Raw genomic sequence first — 12,930 nt, 5'->3', positions numbered from 1 at the left:
TTGGCTCTGTGTCCCCACCCAAATCTCATCTCAAATTCTAATCCCCACGTTTTGAGGGGGGGACCTGTAATCCCCATGTGTTGAGGGAGGGAGGTGATTGGATCTGGAGGCAGTTTCCCCTATGCAGGTCTCATGATAGTGACTCAGTTCTCATGAGATTTGATGATTTTATGTTTTTTGAAGTTTTTCCTTCACTCGTCCCTCTCTCTTGCCTGCAGCCATGTAATATGTGCCTGCTTCCCCTTCTGCCATGATTGTAAGTTTCCTGATGCCTTCTCAGCCATGCAGAACTGTAAGTCAATTAAACATCCTTTGTTTATAAATTACATGGTCTTTGGTAGTATCTTTATAGCAGTGTGAAAACAGACTAATACACCAAGTAACTTTGCAAAATGATGTTTGACTGGCAAGTATAAGACAAAAGACAAAGGAAATTACATATCAATGCTGTACTTCAGTTGATAAAATTTGTTTCTCAAAATAAAACACAAAGAATTTTATAAAGGATCTCATTATTGACTCACGGCTACACCATCTCTAACCTTAACTTCTTCTATTTTATCCATGCATTCCATACCAGCCCCGTTGGCATTCCAAATTCACTATGTGTGCAAATCATGGAATCATTTCCTGCGATAACTCCAGGTTCTAATTCTGTCATAATATTTTGGGTCTTTGACTTCATCTTTCTGATATTTTCTAGTTCCCTTGGATTATGTGACTTTTGATTTCTCTTTGTTCTTTCAAAAGTGGATAGAGCCTCCAACAACTTAACCTGTGCCTTATTTATGAAAACTGTGCAACTACAGTTTCTTTATTTATACTTCAATTAGTTTCTTATTATTGGTGTTTCCTGCCCTCTGGCCAATTTTATGTTTTTAAATCTTAATTTGTCTGGAGCATGCTTCAACCTCAAACTCTCATGTTTAGCATTTTCATTGATATTACACAGTAAGTAGTACATTTTATTGACATATTTAAAGTTTCATTTGAATATTTAAAGTTGATTTTCAGATATGTGCAATTTAAATATTGTAAGGTATTTATTGTGTATTCTACTTAGGTATCAAAACACCCATTAACATATTTTACTTCTTTATCTCTCATTAACAGTAATATATTTTCCAATATTTTATTTTAAAATGTATAGTAACTTAGAAGTACTTTGGCAATGAAACTTAAGAATACAAGTTCTTTTTCTCCTCAGAAAGTTTTACTTAGTCAATATTTGACTACATAACGTGTTAAAGATAATAAGCCTATCTAAGTCTCAGCAGATCAAATTTACTTTCCAATTCCCTTCCCTACATGTGAATAAACTCAGTACAAATTCTGGATTTTGTCAAGCCTTGAGGCAAAATCAGAATTTACTAATAGAAACTGAAGTAGAAAGGTTCCTTGTGACAAATGCCAGAAGAACTAATTCTTTTCCTCTACATTAAATAAAAATAAAATCACTCTGCTAATGGGATACTTGAAGTTGTTATATCAGAAAATAAAATGGTGAATTCTCCTTAATAAAACTTGGGACAATAAAAAATGAAACAAAAAAAGAAAGAAAACTTCTTGAGTCATAAATTATCTCAAAAATATGCCATACACACCAATTCTGTTTTCCATATCCACAACACTAAATGCTCCCTTTTATTTCAAGCTAAGCATTAAATTTTTCATTCTGTCAGACAACATTGTTTCTATCAACTGTACCTAAAAAAGGACTTTTCAGAGCAGAAGGAAAACAACCAAATATACAAATGTAATTTGTATGATAAAAGCTGTAAAAAAGTGAAGACTTATGCAGAAAATCATCTCTGAAATGTATCTGAATGAATATAAATAATGATGTTCCGATTAAACTTAGTATGTGTGTCATGAGAAGGGCATAGCATGGGTACTGTATTACTTGAGCTTAATGTTTCTAGTGTCTGTTTTCTATTACAACTTATCATTGTACATGTACTATATTTTAACTATGAAAATAAAAATATAAGCCAAAAAATAAAGAGAATATAACTATTTCTCTTTTGCATAGTATGTGGTACCCACACATATTAGGCTCTTAAGTGACATATAGTTTTGTGTGTTTTTTTAAAAAAGAGGAAGAAAACACAAAGTCTCGCTCCATCACCCAGGCTGGCGTGCAGTGGGCAATCTTGGCTGAATGCTACCTCTGCCTCCCAGATTCAACAGATTCTCATGTATCAGCTTCGCTAGTAGTTTAGATTACAGGCACTTGCCACCACGCCCATTTTTTGGGTTTTAAAAGAGGCCAACAGATGACCTCTCTACCTGCTACTGCGACTTAATTCATTGCTGTGTCACCACTGCAAAGTGCCTAAAAAGCCACCAACCCTAGGATGAGACATTGAATTTAGTTATCATCTTTCTCCAAAGACCATCTAAATAAATTCTATCACACACTTCGTCACTATTTATTCTCTTTTACTTTTAATAAACTATTTTAGAACAATTTTAGATTTGCAGAAAACTGTGAGGATATCATAATACAGAGTTTCCAATTTCCACATACCCTGCTGCAAGTTCTCCCTATTATTAAACTCTTATGTAAGCATGGTACACTCATTGCAATTACTGAAATGATATTGATTTTTATATTATTATTGCTATCATTATGTAAATGCCGTGCTTTATTCGTATTTTCTTTTTATGTTTCATGCATAAGCCCATTCAGGATACTGCATTGTATTTAGTTGTCATGTCACATTTGCCTACCTTAATTTTGACGATTTCTCGGACTTTTCTTGTTTTCGATGACCTTCACAATTTTGAGAATAACTTGTCAGACATTTTGTAGAATATTATTCCGTAATGTTTGTCTGGTGTTTTTCTCATAATTTGACTTGGGTTATGGGATTTGGGGAGGAAAGGCATAGATGTAAAATGCCATTTTCCCGAATATCATATCAGTGGTCCAAACTATCAACCTGACATATCACTCTTGATATTTACCTTGATCTCCTGGCTGAGGTAGTTTTGTCAGGTTTCTGCATTGTGAAGGTATTCTTTTTAGTCTTTTTACCACAGTCACCTAGAAGGACATCTTTATGTGTAGCTCACACCTAATAATTAAAGTTATGTTCCACTTTCTTGAGAGCTGCCTAAATTATTTGAGATTCTTCTGCATAGGAGATTTGTTTCTTCTCTTCCATTCATTTATTTATTGAATTATTTATTTATATCAGTATAAACTGATGGATATATATTTTATATTATGGGTTATATTTTAATACAATTTTATTTTGTTCTTCAACTTTTTTCAGATGTAGACAATGGGAGCTCTTTCAGTTGGCTCCTGTGTACCTTTGACATATCAAAATCAATTTGTGTGTGTGTGTGTGTGTGTGTGGTGTGTTTTGAGCATGCTTTACATTATGGCACTCTGAAATGCACCAGCTTGTCTTGTATCTTTTCTTTCCTAGTCCTAGAATCAGCTGTTTCTTCAATGAATCCTATCTCCTTTTATTGGAGAATGACATTAGACAGGAAGATTTTAGGGTATGCATACTGGCTCATGCTTGTAATCCTAGCACTTCTTGGAAGCCAAGATGGGAGGATTGCTTGAGGCCAGGAGTTTGAGACCGCCTTGGCCAACACAGGGAGACCTCATATCTACAAAAAATTTAAAAAAAAATAGCCAAGCATGGTGGCACACACATGTATTCCTAGCTATTTGAAAGGCTGAGGTGGAAGGATCCCTTGAGCCCAGGAGGTTGAAGCTGCAGAGGGCTATGGTCATGTCACTGCACTCCAGCAAGGGTGAGAGAGATCCAACTGCAATAAATAAATAAATAAATAAATAAAATAGAAATGAAGATTTTAGTGTTAGGTGTACTTCTTGCTTCTGGGGGTTTGTTACTGTTAGTTTCAGTTGATAGAATAGGAAATGTATGTATGTATACTAATCTATGTATACACGCATATGTATAAATTTATACATAATCATCTGTATCAATTTTAAGCTAAGCATTAGTTCATACCGATGATTCTAATGTTATTACATGGATCATTCTAGCATCTTCCTTTTGCTTATCTGGAGCTGTTTCCTCCAACAGTCAGCTATCTAATTCCCATCCTCCCCCATTCATTTACCAAATTGCTCCTTTCCAGTATACTTGTATAAGCATTTCAGAATTGTTAACCCAATTCCACATGAAGTGATTTATTGAGAAGAGTCCAGTGCTTACATACAATTCTTATGAACAGTTTCTTTTCCTTTTAGTTATTTAGCTAGGCAACTTTTTCTCCTACACTTTCAGTGAAATTCTTTCATACATCTGTACTACAATTAGATTGTTTGGACATATTCTGTATTAAATCCGGGGATCTGCCAACCACCTAACAGATTATCTATTAATTTACATGCATGAATTTGGTCTTAACATTAAGACTAACTCTGAGCTATAATTTTATGTAGATTTTTAGATGAAAATATTTAGTATATAATACGTTTGTAACTGATTTCTATTAGTCACATTTATTCTTTTTTTCTTTTCCTTCAGTTTTTATCTTTTTTGGTTGTAATTTTTTATGACTCCATTTTATCTTATCCCGTAGCATATTAATCTTACTCATTTTAAAAATTATGTAATACTTCTTCTAGAATGTCCAATATACATGTTTGACAAATCTTATTTCATCATAAATTAACATTATACTACTTCATGGATAATGAAGGTAATTTATATCAAGGAATTCCCAGTTCTTCCCTTTCATCATTGAAGATATTATTGTCACATTTATGTCATTTATTTGTATGCTTTAATCATTCAATACATTGTTACTGTTATTACCTTACAAACAGCGTTATCCTTCAGATAAATTAAGAATAAGAAAATTGTCATCTTTGTTTATTTTTCTTCACTTACCTTCTTTCTCTGCTGCTTTTTTGTTTGATAGATTTGAGTTTCTGGCCTATGTCATTTTTCTTCTCCCTAAAGAACTTCTTATCAACATCTTTGCAGAGAAGTTCTACTGGTGATGATTTCCTTCAGTTGTGAGTGTGTGTGTGTATGTGCATGTGCACGTATGTCTGAAAAACTCTATTTTTCTTTTTTAAATTTTATTATTATACTTTAAGTTTTAGGGTACATGTGCACAAAGTGCATGTTAGTTACATATGTATACATGTGCCATGCTGGTTTATAGAATAATAATTTCATTGGAAATATACTTCTAGTTTGATGGTTTGGATGTTTTGTTTGTTTTTATCAACACTTTAGATGTTTTGCTTACTCTTACTTTGCTTTCATGCTTTCTTATAAGAAGTCTACTCTAAGTCTTATTATTACTCAGTAGGTAAGGTATATTTATATTCATTTTATTCCTCTGATTTCAATCAAGGTTTTCTCTGTGTCACTGGTTTTCTGCAGTTTAAATATTAAACGACTATAAGTAGATATTTTGATATTTGTCTTCTTTGGTTTTCTTTGATCTTCCTGGCTCTGTGGGGTGTTGACTGTCATTAATTCTTACCCGTTTTTACTTCAAATAGTTCTCCTTTCTCTCATAATGTAACATGTGACCATGCTTTTAATTTCACTAAGAAAATAAACCCAGTAACATTACAATCTTATTCCCCCACCTCAAATTTTACTAGCTTAGCTTACCTACAAATTCTGAATCTTACTTACAAATTTTGCCTTCATTCCAGTTTTATTAGAAGTATGGGACATAATTGGTAACAGTATTCTATCTCTTACCTACTGAATGGCTTCTCCTATAATTAACTCCTGTACTACATTATTGGTTTCCTCTCTCTCTTCTTAACATTTCTGAAGATATAATGAATGCTGTAACATTCTTGATGAAAAATTCAACCCTTGCTTTCTAGCTACTGCTCTGTTTTGTTCTATACTGTAGAAAAAATACTCAAGCAAGTTGGCCATGCTTCCTACTTTTACTTTCTCACATTTTGATGTTCCATCAGCTTTTAGCATAGCTAACCAGTCAGTGGTTTTAAGCATCGTGTTGTACAACTAATATTTAATGAATGCCTACTTGATGTTTTTTGTTTGTTTGTTTGTTTTGACAGAGTCTCGCTCTGTCGCCCAGCCTGGAGTGCAATGGCACGATCTTGGCTCACTGCAACCTCCTTCACCTCCTGGGTTCAAGAGATTTTCCTGCCTCAGGCTCCTGAGTAGCTAAGGTTACAAGTGCATGCCACCATGCCTGGCTAAGTTTTGTATTTTTAGTAGAGATGGGGTTTCACCATGTTGGCCAGGTTGTGTCTTTCACATCTCATCCTCCCCTGCTATTTACCCAATATTGATGTCCCAAATATCAAACTAATCAGATTGCTTTTGGTAGCAACTTGACCACAATAAGCACAGCTTAGAAGTGTGTGTATAGAGGAGAATTAAATGTTCAAAAGTTCCATTGCTCATAAACTAGGAAGAAAAGCTGGCAAGTAAATTGCCCAGTGTTGTCTTTTATATGGCTATACGAGATATGTAAAAAAGCATTCTAAACACTCCCCTAGAGATCTCAAAAGAATCAGTTTCCGAGATTAGCATATCTTTATATTGCCTTGTCTTCCTTCTCTGTCTCACTGTCTTCACTCCTTCACATATCTTTTATGAGATTAATTCATTAAAAATCTGAAATTCTAATATTCTTCTCAGGGTCTGCTTTTAGGGAAAATCCAAATTAAGTTAGTTATCTTTGATTTATTTTAGACTGACCATCTACCCTTAAGCCGTCAGCTTAAACTTCATCTACAACTCTATTTTCAAAGTATATCTCTTAAATTCAACCATGTCTCATCACTTATACTGTGGCTCTGATAAATCACAAAACCCTAATTTTTTATGGTTGAACTACATGTACTGCATTCCTTGGAGTAAATCAGTAGCCATAAACAATACCCTTTCTTCTCTTTTCCCTAGCGCGTTTCTCTGTAAAGCAGTACAATTTGAACATTATAAAGTCAAAATAAATCAAATCCTTTATTTATATGTAATTTGCCATTACAGGTAAGTCTATTTTTTAAAGGCCGGCATGATTTCTTTCATTCCTTCATGTGTGACTTCCCCTCAAAACATTCTTCTCCTTTCTTATTATGTCCCAGTCTTTCTGTTTGTTTTCTTCTATTTGTCAAATGTACCAAGTTTGTCTCTGAGAAGGACCATCATATTTGTTGTAACATGTGCCTTTTCTTTTCCATCTTTACTTGACTCTTTCTCTTGACTTTGTTCTCTCCTCACATAGCTACACACCCCCGTCCATCCAATCTAAAATATTCCACTCATACTCTTTGCTTATCCTTCTTTCTTTTTTATCCCTTTGTATAGCATTCCTGACAATCTGAAATTATACTCTCATTGTTAGTTCATGTGTTAATTGTCATATTCTTTCACTAGCATGTAAATTCCTTGAGGCAAAAACTTCATCACTTTAACAGAAGGAATAAAACCTCTGATGTAAAATGTGGGTAAAGCAGCTGAAATCAATCATAAAATACTTTTTAAATTTTCAACGTAAACAGCAAATATTGTATTACAAATAATTATAAAGAAATTATATGAAGTTATGATGGCAAAGAGATATTATTTGGAACATAAGGATTATAAAACAAACAACATAAGTATATCCGAGTTGAGTTTACTCTAGGTAGATATAAAATATATACTTTACTTGGGGACTTAATTTTAATTGAACTCTGGGGGAAATGTGAGAATACAAATTCCGGTCATTTAAACGAAGATGATAAGTTTTCAGGATGATAAAATCTTTAACTGAGTTAGTTGAGTTTAATGTGAAGTCATTTATTGGAAGAAAGTAGTACACAGATCAATAGTTTCTCTGGGAAAAAAACACATTCTGCTCAAAAGCATATAAAGATTTAGCAGTATGATCAGTGCAGAAACCTTTTATCACCTAGATTATATTTTATTTTATATCTTTGTTCTGCAGATTTAAAACATGCATTGTGAAATTGTCAGTTACATTCATCTCATTCATCTTGTGGATGATTAAAATAACCATTGGAAACATAAATGTTCACATACATAATTTAAACTGATGTATACTATATATTCTGTAAGCTGAATGAGAAGAAACTCAATTTATCAATACTAGCATTTGTGCAAAAGACCTCTTAAATTAATATTGACACAACTTTTTAATAGTAGCTGATGTTATCTTTTAGAAAGCCAGACACTTTGCCTTGTGGCCTGTAAGTACTGGTAGGGAATTTTGTAGGTAATAAACCTCATGTTATTTAACTAACCTTAGAGTCTAAAAAATATATGATTTTGTGTGGGATATAGAAGAGTGAGGTAACGGAAAACAATGATTTTAGTTTTTTTCCTTCTTTTGGTAATGTTAATTTTTCTCTGAATGCATTAGTTTTCTATTGCTGTGGCAACAAATTACCACAAACTTAGCAGCTTAAAACAATACCAGTGTATTAACTCACAGTCTGTATGATAGAAATCAGACCATGAATACAGTATACCAGGCTTCCCTGCTTAGGGTATCACATGGTAGAAATCACAGTGTCACAGATAATGTCTCACCTGGAGCTACAATCCTCTTCCAAGTTCCTTCAGATTGTTGGTAGAATTCATTCCCTAGATTCACTTTCTCTAAGGACTGAGGGGTTGTGCCTTTTACCTTTAGAGCCAGCAGCAGAAATTTTCAGACATTGTTGAATCTCTTGTGCTTAGAATTCCTGACTTCCTGTCTCTGACCTCAAAATCCAGGTTTAAAGGGCTCATGAGATTAGGTCAAGCCTGGTTGGATAATCTCCCTTTTTAAAAGTCCATTGTGACATATAATGTATCCTACATATGGGAATATGACCCATTAAAATTGCCATGCCTGAGATTATGAAAGGCATATCCACCAGAAGGCATCAATCTTGAGATTGACCTTGAGAGGCCATCTTAAAATTCTGCCTGAGTTATGAGTAATGCCACCTGACAGAAATACTTGTTTTTCCTTCTCCAGTTAGGAACAAGAAATATATTTGATTACATTCAAGCTAAATATTTATTAAAAATCTTTACTGTATTAAGGACTTCAATAGTATTTGTAGAGTCATATAAATATGTATGTTAAAATAACTCTACCCTAGGGGAACATTTTTTTATTTGTATGTTTTTATAAGTAAATGAAAAAGAGGTAGTATGGGAGTTATAAAACAAATGTGCCTCTCTAATATAAGTATGTAGAAAATATAATTTCCTTTCCATGGAAAGTATTCACATTAATTCCTCTTGCTCACCTATATTTATTATCACACATGACATTCTTTTTCTGTTGTTTAATAATTCAAAGAACAGTTAGAAGATACACTTGCCTCAAGATAATTTCTCATATCTCCCAAAAGTATGCTCCATGTTATGGAGATGATGTATCACTTTTGTTTCTTGACATTCTAAAACTAGGTAGATAAGTTTATCTTATTATGATATTCTGACTAGAAAGCCCTTCCTCTAAACATTCTACTTTGCCTAGGCAATTTTTAGACATTTTGTTTAAATAATATGCTCATGAGTTAGACTCACAATTTTGGGGTGAAAGACTAGAATTATCATAAATAATTTGCATCTCCTTGCATTAAGAGGTGGGTTCCATTTCCCTATCTATTGAGTTTGTGCTGGATTTGGGAACTGCTTTAACCAACAGAAGGAAGCAGAAGTAAATTTTGTGCAAATTCTGGGAAAGGGCTCAAGAAGCCCTGCTTTTTTCTGCTCTGATTTTCCTGCTGCTCTGAGATTACCGGGTAAAAACAGCCTGAAGTATTAGGAGAGAAGATCACCTGAGAGCCATCTAGGGCCATTCAGTATTTTTAGCCGCTACCTAACCTAATAATAAATTAAAATAAAACACTTACAACCATGTATTTAATTTTATTAAATGATTTGAAATTTTTATATACATTTTAGATAATATGATTGGCTTGACGATAAAAAAATGTTTTTGTGTTATATTAGTCAAAACCATAGAAAATAGAGTTGAATCAACAAAAATAACTCATAAACAAAATAGAATCAACATATAAAGAAGCATTAGTGTTCTTGGTTAATAAGTCAGTCAAATTTTCAGAAACATTTTTTTAGCAAGGAAATACAGCAGGTTGTTAAAAACAAGGGCTATGGAAATAGCAGTCCTCATTGGTAATCTTGGCTCTGATAATGATCAGAATAAATTACTTAATCTCTCTTTCTTTAGTTTTCTCATCAGTAAAACACAGACTTCTGACTCATAAGGTTATTGGAAATTTGGCCGTGTTAATATATGAAAATCCATATAGTCATTGTTTATTGCCACGTAACAAATCATCAAATACTAAGCAATTTAAAAATAATACACATTATCTTCCGGTTTTCTGTGGGTTATGGTCTGTCCATGGCTTAGCTGGGTTCTCTGCTTCAGATTCTTATTAGGCTGTAATGCATGTGTCAGCCAGTACTTTGGTCTTACACAAACTCAACTGGAGAAAGAACCTTTTGCAAGCTTTCTCAAATTAGCAGAATTCATTTCCTTTTTGGCCACAAAGCTGAGGCTTTTAGTTTCTTGCTGATGGCCACACTCAATTTCTAGAATCCTTCTGAAGTTCTTTGCCATGTGGGCTTATCCAACAAGGCCACTTAATTTATGAAAATTTACTTCTTCAAATCCAGCAATAGAAAGAGAGTAAATTAACTATCAAGATGGAGTCTTGAGAACATACCATAACCACACAGTAGTATCCCATCATATTTGCCACATAATTTACTTAGAAGTAAGACACAAGTACTATTCACACCAGAGGGGAGAGGATTATTCAAGGATGTAAATATCAGAAGACAGGAATTATTAAAGGTCATTTTAGAGACTGTCCACCGAAAGCCCTTACCTCCGTGTGTGGAATAGAGTAAATGCAGAATGAATGTGAGCTGTCTAACAATTGCTATAAAAATCTCAGAACAAAATTGCAATAGAATATATAGCAATTGAAACAACAAAAATTTTACTAGAACAGTCATTATTTATTCATCTTCCTCCTGTGATTCTTAAAGCACATGTGCACAAATAAATAGTAACCAGTTTAAAATAGTCTAATAGAAAGAAGATTTGGAAAGATTAGACGTCTTAAAGATGTTGATTCAGCCACTTGTCACTGAGCCGATAATCAGCAGCTAACATCTTTGAGAGCTTGGCACTTACTCATTCTGGCTAAGCTTAAATGCACAGAATTTGTGAAAATGTACCTAAAACAATATATTTGATATAGGGGCTGAAATCCATTGGTCATTCTCATAAGGCTTAAGATGATCTATGACTCAAATAGTTATCTCTGAAATAAACATTTTGTATATTATTTTTCAAAATCTACTCTACATGGCAAAATAACTGAGAATCTGATAACTAGTTATAAGAGGATTGTTGTTTATTTTTTTCAGAATAAGTTTAGAGAGTTTTACCAATTTCAAGTTTTTGGACACAATGTCTAAGATTAACATGTATTCAGTGGCTTTTTAAAGTAGAATTTAAACATTCTTATTTTGTTTCCTAAGTAAAAGGCATAATTTTCACCATTTGTACTTGTTTTTGTATTTAAATGAGCAAATTTTTTGATACTGCTGCTTCCTTAATTCACCTTTTAATTTATGATTTATATCGTTCTCATTATGTAAATTCTAAAAGGGGGAAAATATCTCTTCAGGAGATATAATAGAGAAATATATCTGCACTATCCATAGCAGTAATATAGGTACCACTGAAGGTGCTGAATAAAAATCTAAAAACTGATTAGTTTTCTTCCCAGTTATACTTCTCAGTAGAAAAACACTAGAAATTTAGAGGCATTTGTACATGCTGGTTATTCCTTGTAGCATTAAATGAAGCCCCCAGTAGTATATCAGTGGTTTCCATGGCATAGCTATGATTCACTTTGATGACATACAGCTTCCATAGTGAGAGAGACATGGGAAGAGGGGCAATGACATTTCTAAGTCAAATTGAAAAATGTCTTCAGACATGATTTTCTGTGTTGTGCTATGAATGTCACACTAATTCTAGAAGTATAGCTTTTATAAATTCAGTGATATGAATTTTTATATTTTATTTCTAAGCCAAAACAGTTATTATATTAAAAATTAAATTATTGGTGACAGTCCATGAAATTTTATTTTCAGAGGATTTTAGGTGTAACCTAAAGAGATGCATAAAAATGATACTATGAAATCATAGCATTATATGCTCTATATAATGAAAAATTATAGTTGTATATATTTAAGGGGCACAAAACGATATTATGATCTATAAATAAAATGTGAAATAATTAAATCAAGCTACTTAACATGTTCATCACCTCAATTACAAATCATTTTTGTAATGAGAATATTCAAAATTTACTCTCAGCTACTTTGAAATGTACAATACACTGTTATTTACTATATTCACCACACTGTACAATAGATCTCAAAGAAAAAGTAAAAATTAATCCTCCTGTCTAATTAAGGCTTTGTACCCTTGGATCACCATCCCCCCATTCCCTCCATCCCCTAGCCTTTGGTAACCACTATTCTATTCTATTATTTTATGAGTTCGATTGTTTAAGATTTCACAGAGAAGTAAAAGGAGGCAGTATTTGTCTTTCTGTGACTGGCTTATTTGTCTTATCTGTGACTATAATGACTTAACATTATAGTGTACAACTTCATCCATGTTGTTGCAAATGATAGCATTTCTTTCTTTTTCCATGGCTGAATAGTATTCCATTGTTTATGTATACCATATTTTCTTTATGTGTTCATCTGTTGATGAACACTTAAGTTGATTCTATAACTTGGCTACTGTGAATAACACTACAATGACTATGGGAGTGCAGATATCTCTTGGATTTACGGATTTTAAATCTTTTGGGTAAATACCCGGAAATAGGATTTCTGGATCATATGGTGATTCTATTTTCGTTTT

At 33.1% G+C, this 12,930-nt stretch overlaps 1 long non-coding RNA gene across 3 annotated transcripts in view; it reads left to right on the top strand.

Annotated features, from left to right (window-relative positions):
* Positions 1-12,930, top strand: part of LINC02476 (long intergenic non-protein coding RNA 2476) — a 287,946-nt gene that overhangs the window by 124,800 nt on the left and 150,216 nt on the right. For 2 of the 3 annotated variants that reach the window (NR_131960.1, NR_131961.1), the window contains one exon: positions 219-292. The exons of the other annotated variant lie outside the window; for it this stretch is intronic. This is a non-coding gene — a long non-coding RNA (long intergenic non-protein coding RNA 2476). The remainder of the gene's footprint in view (positions 1-218; positions 293-12,930) is intronic. 3 annotated transcript variants of the gene reach the window in all.

The sequence above is a fragment of the Homo sapiens genome, chromosome 7 (genome assembly GCF_000001405.40).
Source record: "Homo sapiens chromosome 7, GRCh38.p14 Primary Assembly".
Lineage (NCBI taxonomy): Eukaryota > Metazoa > Chordata > Mammalia > Primates > Hominidae > Homo > Homo sapiens.
The sequence above is the reverse complement of the archived record's forward strand: the minus strand, read 5'-3'. Positions and strand labels throughout refer to the sequence as shown.